This window comes from Homo sapiens, chromosome 2, assembly GCF_000001405.40.
Source record: "Homo sapiens chromosome 2, GRCh38.p14 Primary Assembly".
In the NCBI taxonomy this organism is placed as follows: Eukaryota; Metazoa; Chordata; class Mammalia; order Primates; family Hominidae; genus Homo; species Homo sapiens.
Window position 1 is genome coordinate 195,722,615 of NC_000002.12, and position 15,087 is coordinate 195,737,701.

Below are 15,087 nucleotides of genomic sequence, written 5' to 3' on the forward strand. Positions count from 1 at the left end.
AAGCACAGGGAAAATCATTCCTCTATAGGTTGAGTTAGAAGCATGGGCAGATAGAGCCAGGGAGAAGTCCACTTCCCACTTTCTAGGTTAAGATGTTGACAAAGTAGTATAGTATGTCACATTTCAGGATAATTTATTTGATCTAAAACCTATTTTGCCCTGTTACATTTTTCATTATGAATTCTTAAAACAATTCTGAGATTTCCATACTGACCTCAGACCCTTGGAGGAAAAACATGTTTTCCAATTACATTGCAATACATGGAGACTGACCCTCAGTTGGTAATTCCAAGTTCTAGTGTTCCCTTTCTGAACAGATTGCTGTTTTTCCCGTGGTATATTCACTGAGACACAGAATTGAAAACAAGTTGTTTTAGAGATTAATGATGGTTACCTTCTTAGCACTTACCCCTTTTTCTCTCTGCAGTTTCTGCAGGTGTTTTTTGTAGTTGTGTTTAGGAATGTGATACGTAAAGACATATCCTTAGAACCATAGAATAACATATAGTTCAGGGAATTTGACTGTAAGAGACATGAAGAAATTGAAAGCATTTGAGGAAATAGCAAACTCACATCTCATTTTGTGTTTGCTCTCTGGTGTGGTAATGGGTTAAATTGCCTGAATTACTAAGTCACTACTCTCTTTTCTGTGTTTGCCGAACTTATGTAGCTGAATTTAAGTTACAATACTACTTTGTCTTATCTCTTCACTGTTTTCCACCTTCCTTCAATAAGGAACTGTATAAGCATTTGAAGAATAATTTACAGAAAAGCCTGTAGTAGGAGGAGGCCATCTATAGGTAATGTAATGTTGGGGACCATCCAGAGGGCAGGAGGAAGACAGCCGCTTCCAGGTTTGAACTCAGGACAGATCAACCACCTGAGTGTCGTCTGCACTCTCAGAACAGCCCCAGAGTCTTGGACTCCACCAGGGTTTCACAAACTCCTGCCGGAATTCTGAGACTCCCACAGAGAGGCTTTTGACTGTGGATGGATGCAGAATTATTCTTGTGGATGTTGGGATATGAGTGGGTCACCTTCCATTTTGACATCTTGGTCTATCACAATTTCCCAAACATTCTTCTTGATGTTGAGTAATGTGTTTCAACTTCAAGGAAATAACATTTTGATTAAAAAAAAAAAATACAGCCATGGGGCAAGGGTTAGAAAACTTACCTATTGGGTACTGGGTACTATTGTGTAGTATACCAGGGTGACCAGTCATACCCCCACACCTCAGCATCACATAATATACCTCTGTAACAATCCTGCACATGTACCCCATGCTTCTAAAATAAAAGTTGAAAAAGAAAAAAATATGTAGCCATATTATTAAGACTCAATTAAGAGAGGTTATAGTGTTGTACATTTTTCCTTTCTGTCAAATTAAGGATTACATAGAAATTTAAAATAAGATTTTCATAATGTGTTAAATTGTCCACAGGAAATTGAACATTCATTGTATACATTTATGTAGAATTTTAACATGTATACAACCATTATTTAAGACAAGAATAAAGAACCTTAAAATATATACATGTTTTAAAAAATCTCAGTAGTGGATGTTAACAGATGTTAACATCTGTAGCATTGGATCTCATTAGTTTAACAGCTTTGGCAGGCACACCTCATTCATTGTGCTAATGATATCCCTTGTCAGCAGGAAGGAAAGAATATTGATTTATCAAAAGATGAATAGATTTGCATGTTTACTATAAATCCCTGCTGTGAGGATTCCTTTGACTTAGTTTTAAAATGTTTATACAGGTTCTCACTGAGAAGGGAAATGAGGAAAAAGAGAAAAATATGCAGATACCTTTGAGAATTTATAACCTGAGATAAGACTACAACCAAGATAGATTTTAAAATGAAATAATTCACTTGATACAAAGATAAGTATACAAAAATCATTTGTATTGCTATATACTAGTAATCAACAGTTGAAAATAAAATTTTTAAAAGGATCTACTTATAATAGCATCAAAAATATGTAATATTTAGCTTAAATCTAACAATATGCATAGACCTACAAATCATCAGTAAAAGAAACCAAAGGAGACTTAAATGAAGAGCTATACCAGGTTCAGGGACCAGAAGACTATTGTTAAGATGTTAATTTTTTCCTATAGACACAGTGCATTCTCAGTAAAAAATCCAGCAGGCTTTTTTGCAGAGATGAACAGCTTTTTTAAAAATTTTATATGGAAAGGGGAAGGAACTTGAATAGCCAGTAGAATTTTGCAAAAGGGCAGCAAAGTTGATTTAAGATTTACTATAAAGCCACCGTAATCAAAACAGTTGGAATTGGTGAAAGAGTAGACACATAAAGCAGTGGAACAAAGCAAAGAGTCCTCACATATATGGCAATTAATCTTCAACAAAAGTACAAAGAAAATTCCATGTTGAAAGGATGGGATAGTATTTTCAACAAATGGCGCTGTAACAATTGGACATCTACATGCAATTAAAAAAAAAGGAAGAAAGAAAAATACCTTTGACCCATATCTCACTATAGAAAAAACAATGAACTCAAAGTAGGTAATCTAAATGGAGATTCTTAAAAATAGAAGAAAATATAGAATATCTCTGTGTCTTTGGGTTAGGCAAAGTATTCTTAGATACAGCACTAAGCATACTCCATTAAGGAAAACAGTCATAAAATACACTTCTTACAAATTAAAAACTCTTCACAAAAGACAGTTAACAAAAAGGGAAGCCACAAACTGGGACAAAATATTTGGACAATACATATCTGACAAAAGACTTCAATCATAGTAAAACAAACAGCCCAACAAAATAAAATAGACAAAAAGACTTGAACAAATGTTTCACTGAAGAAAGTATACAGATGAGATTTCAGATGCTGGATTTCAAATTGTGGGCTGTCAAGGATGTGGAACAGCTAGAGCTCCTATACATTGCTGGTGGGGATGCAATTTCTTATAAAATTAGAAATATGCTTAACTGTGTGGCCCAGTGACCCCACTTAATAGGTGTCTGCCCAAGAGAAATGAAAACTTATGTTGACATAAAAGCCTGTTTATGAATGTGTGCAGTGGCTTTCTTCATAATTGCCAAAAACAGTGAACAACTTAAATGTTCTTTGCTGGTGAATATAGATAAATAAACTATGGTTCATCTATGGAATATTACTGAGCAATAAAATAATTTTCTGATATACACAGTAACACGAATGAGTCTTACATGCATTATTCTAAGTGAACAAAATCTAAACTTGAAAGACTACATACTGTGTGCTTCCATTTAGATGATGTTCTGGTAAAGGCAAAATTACAGGAACAGAAAGCAGATTGTTGGTTGCCTAAGGGCAAGTGGCCTAAAAAAATTTTGGAAGGGTAATGAAAAAGTTCTAGAGTTTAATGGTGTTTATGGTTATAGGGTGTATGTGTTTGTCCAAATTCATAGAAGTCTACATTTTTAAAAAATGAAATAGTTGTGTAATTATACCACAGTTTTTAAAAGTATTAAATGAAAATAGTTCGCCTTGAATCTTGATTTGTTAATTCATGCTGTTTGGTTGTTACTTAGGAAGGAACTTAAACCATCTTGCTATGGCAACAAAGTTGGTGTATTTTGTACCCATGACACCGTTGTTCATTGAGTATTAAATAATGCTCATTTTTAAACGCATTATTAAATTATAAAAGGAAGCAATGCATTTTGTAATCTAAAAGACACTTCTGTAGTCTCAGTTTGTTTTACATAACCTGCTAAATGAAATTGCCTCTTTAGCACAGTTGGTGTGTGATTTATTGAAAACAAGGAGAGGAAATTTGTTAGGGAAGTTAGGGAGCTCTTTCCACAGAGAAAAAGCTGAGAAAGACTGGAGAAAATTAACGAAACTCCAGGAGAGAGAAGAGATAAAAGCTGATATTAAATCCGGGTCTCAGCAGGAGAATTAAGGTATTTAGGATCAGAGGAGAAAAGATGTAAGGAGAATAGCATTAGGTGAAAACTGGACAATTACAACTTAGAAACCATTGGTAGATAATCTCCTTAGGTACATTATCTTAACTTTCCAAAACAATGCTGCAGTGTTTAGTTTGTAGCAATTTGTTGGAAGGTAGAAATAAACCTTGCAGTAATTTCTTTATTGTTAACTTCTCCTTGTTATAGACTATGAACCTTGTAACCATGAGAGGTATAGAAGAATAATAGATCATGTATTTTTAGATACGTAGCTGTTAAGATCCTTAAGGGAAAGAAACAAGCCCAGTTAGTATTCTGTATCGCACCTTGCATATGCTGAGTGTTCAATAATTGATTAGATGTTTGTTCATGTAGTAACTGAAACAAAATTATTATAGTATGTAAAGCTAATGGGTTTTTTTCTTTCATACCTCTTCAAGGTGGAACAAGCTATTGCTTTCGACCCATTAGCTTCAATACTATTATTATCTCTAGCATCATTTTGTCCTTCCACTGACACTTCTCTGAGCAATATTTTTTTCCCCCTAATGTTCCAACTTCATTATTTTTCATAGGCACTAGTCAAGCTTGCAGATAATGTTCCAACTTTAGACAGATGAATAAGAAAAGTGCCTTTCTTCTTATTTGGAGGGAGGGGGTGGCGGGAGGAGAGTCCATTGAGGATCCTTAGAAAAAGCATTTCAGTATTTTCCCTCCTGTGAGTTTTTGTCTTACATCAGCTCTGTGGTCATGGATGATTTCACAGTCACCAGTGTCACCATTCTTCATCAGCACAGTTAGAAACAGACTTTGGAGTATGGCTTAATAAGAACCTGGCATTTGCTCTATTTTCAGCATTGTCGATGCTCTTCGGAGCCTCAGCCAGATATTTATGTGCATCATTGTAGAAGCACGGAAAAGTGGTAGGAAGAGCTCTTCATTCTTACTACATTTTTAGAATTTTCAGGATTAAAGTTTTTCTTTCTGGGAAAAAAAAATAACTGTAACCATAGCATAAAATATACTTAAAGCACCTGTTACCTCTGTTCTTCCTTAGGCCATTTCCCTTTGAAGAAAGGGTAGAAGTTCGAGCAGGGAGGTCTTGATTGTTGGTTACAAGAAGAGCGGTGACCATGTTTTTTTCTTTTGTAAAAATTTGACATTTAAGTTGTACAGTAGAATTGACTTTTTTTGTGAGTACAGTTCTTTGAATTTTAACATATATATAGATTTCTGTAATCACTGCCACCATCAGGATCAGAGTAGCTTTGTCACCCCCAACAACCCTTGCCCCGTGCTCTTCCTTTAGAGTCGCAGCTCTCCACCATCTCTGTCCCCTGGCAACCACTAACTGTTCTTCATTATTATAGTTTTGTCTGTTTCAGAATAGATATATAACCTTTCAGATGGACATCTTTCAGTATCATGCCTTTGAGATTCATCCAAGTTTTTGCATGCATTATGGTTTAATAAGTAAAATATTTTATATATCACATAAAATACTGTTATTAAAAGTGTGTATCTTTTTAATGCTGATTTTATTTGTTTTCTCCTTTCAGATTTGTGTTTTAAATCCTGTGGTTTTAAAACATTCCCATTGTTTCTTAATTGCAGGAGATTTTGCAGTTCTTCTTAAAGCAGGCATGACTGTAAAGCAAGCAATTGTATACAACCTCCTCTCTGCCATGATGGCTTACATAGGCATGCTCATAGGCACAGCTGTTGGTCAGTATGCCAATAACATCACACTTTGGATCTTTGCAGTCACTGCAGGCATGTTCCTCTATGTAGCCTTGGTGGATATGGTAAGATATTTTATATTTTTTTGTGGTACTAAACCTGCAAATGAAAGAAATCCTTGGAAGTGGTTTGAAGCCAAACTATTTTTGAAAATATAACTCATTTTAAAGACATAATATCCTAAATAATCTCTTAAGGAAGGACATTTAAGTAGGAGGTTTCCTTTTATGGAAACCAGTTGAGTTGCTGAAAATGTCTGTCCATCATGTTACTATTTAAATAATCATTAGTAGTAGAGTTATAATTACAGAATTATTATACTACTTTAAAGACTTTGTAATATTGGTGTAGAAGTGTTTTATTTTTGTTAGCAAAATTAATTTTTTGAGTTTGTTTTATGGCAAACAGGAGAGAAATACTATTCCTGTTAGGTAAGCCAGTCTTCTGGAAGGAAGTGGTATATATTCCATAGGATTTATGTAATTTCTCTTATTTCTAAATTTAGCTTAAAGTTAAATGTAAATGCTAACAATTTGTTTTATTTTGATTTTACTTTAATACCCCAAATATGTTAGACAGTGTATTTACAGAACTAGCAATTAGGTTTTTATGTTTGTTTGTTTGACTAGATAGGACATTTACTTTTTTTTTTCTGGTAAGATCACAGTCTTATTTCAAAATTATGCAGCCTTTTTTTTTTTTTTATGAGATAGGGTCTTGCTCTGTTGCCTAGGCTGGAGTACAGTGGCATGAATATGGCTCACTGCAGCCTTGACCTCCTGGGCTCAAGCAATCCTCCTGCCTCAGCCCCTGAGTAGCTAGGACTACACATACCTGCCACCACAGCCAGCAAAAATATTTTTTTTAAACTTTTTTTTATAGAGATAGGGTCTTTCTATGTTGCCCAGGCTGGTCTCAAACTCCTGGGCCCAAGCAGTCTTCCTGCCTCAGCCTCTCAAAGTGCTGGGATTACAAGTGTGAGCTACCACACCCGGCCCAGCCTAAATTTTTAATCACAGAATTAATGCCTATTTATCATAGAAGGTTTTGAAAATGTAAACAATTGTTTCTTTTTGTTTACAAAGTTACCTAGGAGTAGTCATCTTCCCTGCTGACTTTTAATATCTCATTTCCTATTCTCACCCTCAGCTGATAACCTTGCTTCTGATTTCATGGGGAACACCGAAGCTATCAATCCACAAGTTCTCATCATCACTTCTGCTTACCTTGCTGTATCTATGCCCATTTACATTCTTTCCTGTTACCAAAAGGAAATTTCCTAGCTGGTGCTCCTGCAAACTGTTCCCTAGAACTGATCCTCTCGTGCTGACTCCGTTAAATTCTCCTTTCTCTTTCCCACACCATTTCCCCCCTTCTGCTGGATTATTTCTATTAGCCTATAAACCTCATATTACTTCTCCCTTCTTAAAGAGGTGGGGGACCTCTCTTAGTTCCAACTTCCCCTTTAGCTATCACCCTATTGCTGCTCTCTTTTAGGATATTTTGGTTGGTTTTGTTTTGGGTTATTTTTTGAGACAGGGTCTCACTTTGTTACCCAGGCCGGAATGCAATGGTGCAATCATAGCTCACTGCAGACTCGACTCCCCAGGCTCAAGTGATCCTCCTGCCTCTACCTCCTGAGTAGCTGGGACCATGGGTGCACACCACCATGCCTAATTTTTTTTTTTTTTTTTTTTTTTTGTAGACACGGAGTCTCACTATATTGCCCAGGCTGGTCTTGAATGCCTGGCCTCAAACAATGCTCCAGCCTCAGCCTTCCAAAGTGCTGAGATTATAGGTATAAGCCAACATGCCCTGCCCATTGTTTATTTTTAAATTTTCCTCTTTTTTTGAGCCAAACCTAAGCAGGTTTTCCCCCTGACTTTTCTGCCAGAACTGCTTTTGTCAAATTAACCATTGACCATGGCATCGCTAAGTCTGCTAGTCATTTTCCAGTCTTCATTTTTCTTGTCATAACAGCAGAACTTGACAGTTGGTCATTCTCTTTTCTTTGAAATGCTTTTGTGTCAGTAGGCTTCTGTTTGTTTGTTTATTTGTTTGTTGTGAGACAGTCTTGCTCTGTTGCCCAGGCTGGAGTATAGTGGCATGATCGCAGCTCACTACAACCTCCGCCTCTTGGGTTCAAGCAATTTTCATGCCTCAGCCACCCAAGTAGCTGCGATGACAGGCATGTGCCATCACGCCCAGTCTTTTGTCAGTAGGTTTCTATAATACCACAATTTCCTGGCCTTTTCTCCACCTTGCTGGCTTTTCTCAGACTCTTTACTGGATCCTCCTCTTCTCCCCCTGCATCTAAATGTTGGCAAAAGATGTAAGTAATTTCATCTAGTTTCATGGCTTTAAATATTTGTTGGCTGATGATTCCTAAATTCGTATCTTTATTATAGGCCTTTCCTTTAACTCCAGACTAATCCAACTGTACTTGAATGTCTAAAAGGCATTGTGCACTTGACATGTTCAGAACAGCTCTTGACGTTGCCAACACTACTACTTGACCAGCCTGTCTTGCAGAAGTCTCCATCTCAGAAATGATGATACCTCTATTCTTCTAGTTGCTCAAAAAGCTTGAGTGTTGTCCTTTGACTCAACTTTTTGCCCTCCCACATCTTGTTTGCCAGAAAGTCCTGAGGCCTCTTTCGCCTAACCACCTGTACCCTCATCATTTTCATCCAAGCCACCACCATCTTTCTCTTTTTAACTACTCTCCCTGCTCTGTCCTTGCCCTGCCTTCCAACTCTGTATCAGCTCAACTAGAGCAATCCTTTTAAGCCATAGATCACATCATCACATTTGTATGCTTCACATTGTGGTTTTTCATCCCATTCAGAGTAAAAGTCCTAAAGTTCTTTCTTTGACTTGCAAAGTTTTTCATCATCCTTGAACATTTCCACTCCCTTGTCCTCCTTAGTTTTCCTATCCTTACTTCAAATCCTCCCACTCTCCCTGAGGGACATTCTGCGTCAGGGCTGTGGCACTTGCTGATCACCCCTCCGGAATAGTTTTCCTGCAGACGTCCTCATGGCTAGCTCCTGCTTAGGAGGCATCTTATCTAAAATTTAAATCTCCCCTTCAACATTTCATATCCTCTATCCCTGCTTTACTTTTTCTCCTTTGTACGTGTATCTCAACCTATTAACACCATTTTACTTATTTATCGTGTTCATTGTCTTCCCCACTAAGATGTCAGCTCTGGGAGGACAGGCATTTTTGTCTTATTTTATATACTGCTGGAAATTTAGTTTATATATAGTTAGTATTTCCTTACATCTGTAACACTAGAAAGTTACAGATACAAGAAGAATGAGTCTTTACAGAAAGGATTTATAGTTTAATGAAGAAGAAAAGTCATAACTACAGTTATTTTGATATGTGTTATGATAGAGTTTTGCACCATGTTTGTGGAACTACAGAGAGGCTGGCTAAAAAGTTGGGGAATAGAAAGTTTTTCCATCAAAAAAATCCGAGCTGAGTCCTAAAGAATGGAGTTTATTAGAAGCAAGGGGAAGGGTCGTATGAGGAAGCTGAATGATTTATAACATCATTCCTTTGAACAGTAAGTCTATAGCTAGGACTATATTCTGAGGAAATAACATGACTACTCCTGATAAAACAAGCAAACAAAAATAAAACCTCACTACGTGGTTCTTTGCAGTAGTATTTATAATGTCACAATTATATTGGAAACACTCTAAATGTTCAAGAGAAAGGGAAGAAACTGTCCACATATATTTTGTGAGATTTTAATGACCCAGAAATTGGGTATTTTCTAATGTTAAGTAGGAAAAAATGGATCCATATTGTCGTCAGGTAGGTGTTGGCCATATCCTGACAGTCGCACAACATGCCATACCAAAAAGATGAGAGTTTATCTTGTAAACTTTGGAGAGCCATGAAAAAGTTTAAGCAGTAGAATGACATGATCACATTTTTGTTTCAGAAAGACTTTGGCTCTATGGAGGAAGACTTTTATTGATTTAAAGCCATTCAATAAGATATCAACAGTACCAGAAGTTTTAGTTTGAGATACCTATAGGATAACCAGGTGGAAGTATCTAGTTGTAGAGGACTTTGGGTGGTGCTGTTTATCAATCAGTATCAAAGCATTTTTATGTAATATTTTAAACAAATATGGCCATACCGGTAGGTGTTGGTTGGCTCTTAGCTGTGGTTATGACAAACAGTGTGGGTGTTGACATTCAGGTTAGAATTAAATGTGGCAAAGCCATAGTTCCTATTCTAGTTGGTATGTATACATATCTAGAGGGCATATTTCTGTAAAACATGCTGCATATTGTTTATGCTTAAGTATTTAAGGAAAGTCATAATGAAAAATCTTTGTAACAATAAAAACTTGGAAGGAGGAGAAAGGATAGAGTAAAATAGTCTTACTAGAACCATATGTAGGAAGCTGTCAGTTTGAAGGGCCAGATAGTAGATGGTTTAGGCTTTGGGGACCATATGGTTTCTGTCACAGTTTTTCAACTCTGCTGTGGTAGTGTGTGGTTCCTGGGACAGCGCCTCTGCTGTTGTAGCACAAAAGCTGCCATAGACAATGTGTAAATGAATAGGCATGGCCAGATTCAGCATGGTTTGCCAACCCTTAGACCATTAGTTGATTTGATAAAGTGATTTTGTGAATGGTTTGGACAAGAAAATAATCTTTACTAGCTATTATATACCATTACCATAGACTTTTAAACAGAATTTATGATAGCATGCTGTAGTTCTTAAATATGACCTTTAAGAGATTGCTAAAATATACCATAGCACTGTCAGAGCATGGTGGTTAGATTAATTGTACCCATTATTTAATAACAAATAATGATGTTTCTTCCTAGACAGGAAGAAGTATGAATTAAGAATTATGTGACTTAACACTAGATTTCTCCTCCCTAAACCCAAATCACCAAGATACTGTTTTGGAGCAAAACGTAGTGTCCCAGAGGGTAGCATATCAGTGTCATCTTTCTGTAGATAATGACTGCAAATTTGAATTATGTTTGCAGAAAAGTGAAAGTAAAAATTGGAAGTAGCAATTCCTTCACAATTTTAGATTAGGTTTGGGTGGAAAGAATGTATGCCTATAATGATGCAAATGTATTTCTTCCACAAATCTTATTTACTTAGACAAATTAAAGGAATTTAATTTTTATATTTTGAATCTACAGATTATTCTTAGATGTAATAGTATGTGGTATGCTTTAGAAATTAAGTATATAAACTTTTCTTTTCTTTTTTTTTTGAGACGGAGTTTTGCTCTTGTTGCCCAGGACGGAGTACAGTGGCGCAATCTTGGCTCACCGCAACCTCCGCCTCCTGGGTTCAAGCAGTTCTCCTGCCTCAGCCTCCTGAGTAGCTGGGATTACAGGCATGCACCACCATGCCCAGCTGATTTTGTATTTTTAATAGAGACGGAGTTACTCTATGTTGTTCAGGCTGGTCTCAAACTCCCGACCTCAGTTGATCTGCCCGCCTCGGCCTCTCAAAACTGCTGGGATTACAGGCATGAGCCACAACGCCCAGCCATATATAAACTTTTCAAAGCACTGTGCCTTCAAAGATGTGATAATTTTCAGAATTTTGAAATTTTAACAATATTAAGAGAATACACTGTGAGGGCAGTGTGCATGACTTGGTACTAGTTATGCTGGATAGCTCTGCTAGGTTGTTTTCTGTGTCTGTTATTGGAATGAAAGCAATGGCATAAGGGCATAGAGATGCCAATTTGGATTTGTCCCCAAGTATCTCTTTGCTGTCATGAGCAGTGGGAAATAAGAATTTCAAGTGGAAAAGAGTGAAGAAGTGAAACCATTTTGAATTAGGCCATTTCCCAAAAGAATCTTCCTTTTTTTTTAAAAAAAAAAAAAAAAAAAAAGTTTTTTTGAGATGGAGTTTTGCTCTGTTGCCCAGGCTGGAGTGCAGTGGTGTGATCTCAGCTCACTGCAACCTTTGCCTCCCAGGTTCAAATGATTCTCCTGCCTCAGCCTCCCGAGTAGCTGGGACTACAAGCGTGCCCCACCACGCCCAGCTAATTTTTGTATTTTTATGGGTTTCACCATATTGGCCAGGCTGGTCTTGAACTCCTGACCCCATGATCCGCCCACCTCGGCCTTCCAAAGTGCTGGGATTTATGGGCGTGAGCCACCGTGCCCGGCCCAAGAATCTTGCTTTCTTATTGAGTTTAAGATACATTAGTAAATGTGGGAATTGTGGTGATCGGTTTTTGGAGTGTCTTATTGGTAATAAGTTGCTTTATGCTTTAGCATAAAGTAAAATGTCAGAATTTATAAGGTCAGTGGATAGTAACTGTTTGAAAAATGACTAATGTGCATATTTTAAGTGTTTGTTGTGGGGGATGAGGAGGAGGGAACAGAGTTAGTATTTCCTAGCAAAAGCATAAAATTTCTTCAGTATTTGACTAAAATACATCTGGTGGGTAGCATTGTGTTCAATAAAATAATTATTTTGTCTGTAGTTACACTTCAGTCACTAATTTTCTTAAGTAGGAAAATGTTTTTAAAAACTGTTTTGAGCAGAAGTATTATACAAAGTTTAATGTGAAGATTTATTTTTCTAGCTTCCAGAAATGTTGCATGGTGATGGTGACAATGAAGAACATGGCTTTTGTCCTGTGGGGCAATTCATCCTTCAGAATTTAGGATTGCTCTTTGGATTTGCCATTATGCTGGTGATTGCCCTCTATGAAGATAAAATTGTGTTTGACATCCAGTTTTGACCTTTCCCAGTAATCACTGTTGATTACGAGAATGTTACCATGCAGCTTTGCATCTGTTCCTTGTACTGTATGCACATTGCTCAAAGGAAAGTCAGTGGCTTGCACTACTTACAAGTTTCATAGATTTGAGCCTAACCACAAGAGGCTGGTGCTTAGTACTGTTTTCCCTGCACGTAGGGGTCTTTTAAAAATATAAAGCTTGTGATAAAGAGAGGAGAATATGGGACTCCATGAACCAGTGTTGATATGTTTGATTAAGACTTTTCACAAAATAATCATATAAAACACTAGTCTCTTTATTAGTAGAAACTTCTGTGGCTATGCAGAAATAGAGATCGAACCAAAAAAAATCATTTAAACTTTAAAAATATTTTAAATGGACTTTGGGGAGACATTTTTTGTGTGTTTTAAGAATGAATTGTAGTGCTCTTTAATTCAGCTACATATATTCATGTGGTGATAGGGATCAACTTGACACAACTTTGAAACTGCATAAAGTAGACATAGGAACTAGAGGAAAGCTCAGGCTGCATTAGAGTATGAATTTAGCATTGGGAAAAGCCCTTATTCTTGAATCTAGAGTTACTATTTTTGTATATATTTGCATAGTGTTTAAACCTGCAGCCTAAACTACTGAAATTTGTGATTGTATGTTTGTGTGAGCTTCAGTTTAATGAAAGATTCATAATGGTTCTTTGTATTATTATAATACTTGGTGTTGGGGTGTTCTTTCTGTTTTGTTTTTTACTTTAATTTTGTTTTGATTTTTTTTTTTTTTTTTTGGCGGGGGTAGGTGAGGGTTTGGAGCATGTGGTCTTTTTAAAAAATTGTAACCCTCTAGAAAATATCAAAGAAATGAACCAGACGTGGTTTAAATAGTTGATTTTCCTATTTTAACAGTACCAACTAGTTAATTGGGAAATGTAAGTTCTGAATGTTCACATTGCTTTACCAGTTTGGCACTGGAACCAAGAGCACATGTCGTGGCTGGCTACAAGGTTGTAAAGCAGAAAATCGAAGTTTACCATGTCTGTAATGTGTACATGAAGTGTCAATTTAGAACAGTTACTAGGATAAACTCCATTATTGCCATGGCTGTCATGGTACCCAAGTGACTTGGAAGATGCATTTAAATTACTCAGCTGAAATCACTTGATCATCTTGTGCCAAGATATGCTGTTGGTGCCTGATAGGGATTAGTCTTTTAGGTGCCCTGTTCTCCTACCATAATTGTGAATGATTTGTGAGAAGTGCAAGCCATGTTTATCCTGAATTTTTACTTAATAATTTGTATTACTAGTCATATGCATGTAGCTTTCTGTTTACATCCTATGCCACATGGTCTTCATTTATGCCAGGTAAACTGTATTTGAACTATGTGCAGCTAGCTTTGTTTTAATCTGCTTGGCAACCAGTGTAGCTGCTGTAACAATCTATCTTATTGTTCAAATATATAAGAGCCAAACTCTTTTCCATTCCATCTAAAATGTTTTCATTTAGTACTCTTCTTTCCTCCTACTCTATGAACTTCAAAACAAAAACAAAACTTTGAGAGCAGCACATGCATCCAGGTATTTATAGATTATTGCCAGTGTCTTTTCTGTATGCTATAAGCAAGGGAGCTTAGGTGTTATTTCTTTAATTTATGCTTGAATCTGAAAAATTATTTCTGACTTACTCCATGGCCTCCTTATAATAAGTAGAAGTTTTATATATAATTAATTTTCAGCATTGGGCACTGAATTAGGACAGTCCTCATCTCATTGCTTGGCCCTTCAAGCAACCTAGCTAAAAGGTGCTGATATTTTATTTAGTACTGCCAACTTCAAGTGATTTAGATATCTATCTATCTAGATTTCTGAACCAAGATATATTTATAGTTCACTTTTGGGTTTTTATACCCACGGTAGGATTCTGCATTCCAGCATTAAATCTGCTTCATTTTAGAACCTTTATAAAAGCAATAGCTGGAATATACTCCCAGTTTTAAAATAAATGCCTGATTGATTTAAAGCAAGTAGGTTATGCTGAAGTATATAAAGAAGTTTTATATTCTCTCAAAAATGGTATTATCTTTCTTTATTTGCTAGATTCTTACAAATCTTTTAAGAGGGCTGTAACAGTTGCTGCTAGTATTAGGGTTCCACATCATTCTAATGTATAGTTTCAAGTCTTAATAGACAATCTGAATTCCACTACATTTCTTTTGGCTCCAACATTCCTTTTAGCTTGACCAGTCTAATTTAAAATGTGTTTGTTGGAGGTCATTAACGTTACTTGTACAATGCTGTCACTGTGTGACATCCATATGAATTTTGGTATATATCAATCAATCAATCAATCACATTGCATTCAATCAATCAGCTGTGATTGATTGATTATGCTTAGAAATACTATAGTAACTAGATGCAGTGTGAATTTTTTCCATTAACAAACAAACAAGTCAGTGGCTTAAATGTGATTATGGTCCTGCAAGGTGATTCTTGCTAAAATATCTAAACTTTTGTTTTGTTTTAACTGAATCATTTTTTAACTTAAAAAGCTGGAAAATATCAAATGCTGTTTTTTTTTTTTCATTGTCAACAGTGGTGTGTCATTTTATGTATGTTCCTAATGCTTATGGAACTCCTCCAAAATAAAGTTACTCAAAGAGAGCAAAT

At 36.3% G+C, this 15,087-nt stretch overlaps 1 protein-coding gene across 9 annotated transcripts in view; it reads left to right on the forward strand.

Annotated features, from left to right (window-relative positions):
• SLC39A10 (solute carrier family 39 member 10) overlaps positions 1 to 15,086 on the forward strand; it is a 124,672-nt gene extending 109,586 nt beyond the window's left edge. For 8 of the 9 annotated variants that reach the window (XM_011511504.3, NM_001127257.2, XM_005246689.5 and 5 more), the window contains 2 exons: positions 5,545 to 5,735; positions 12,269 to 15,086. In XM_011511504.3, the coding sequence (XP_011509806.1) occupies positions 5,545 to 5,735; positions 12,269 to 12,427 (350 nt within the window). In that variant the 3' untranslated portion in view covers positions 12,428 to 15,086. Of the gene's footprint in view, positions 1 to 1,767; positions 5,518 to 5,544; positions 5,736 to 12,268 lie in introns of those variants that run through there. The other variant, XM_011511507.3, reaches the window with a different exon arrangement.
• The last annotated feature ends 1 nt before the right edge of the window (position 15,087 follows it).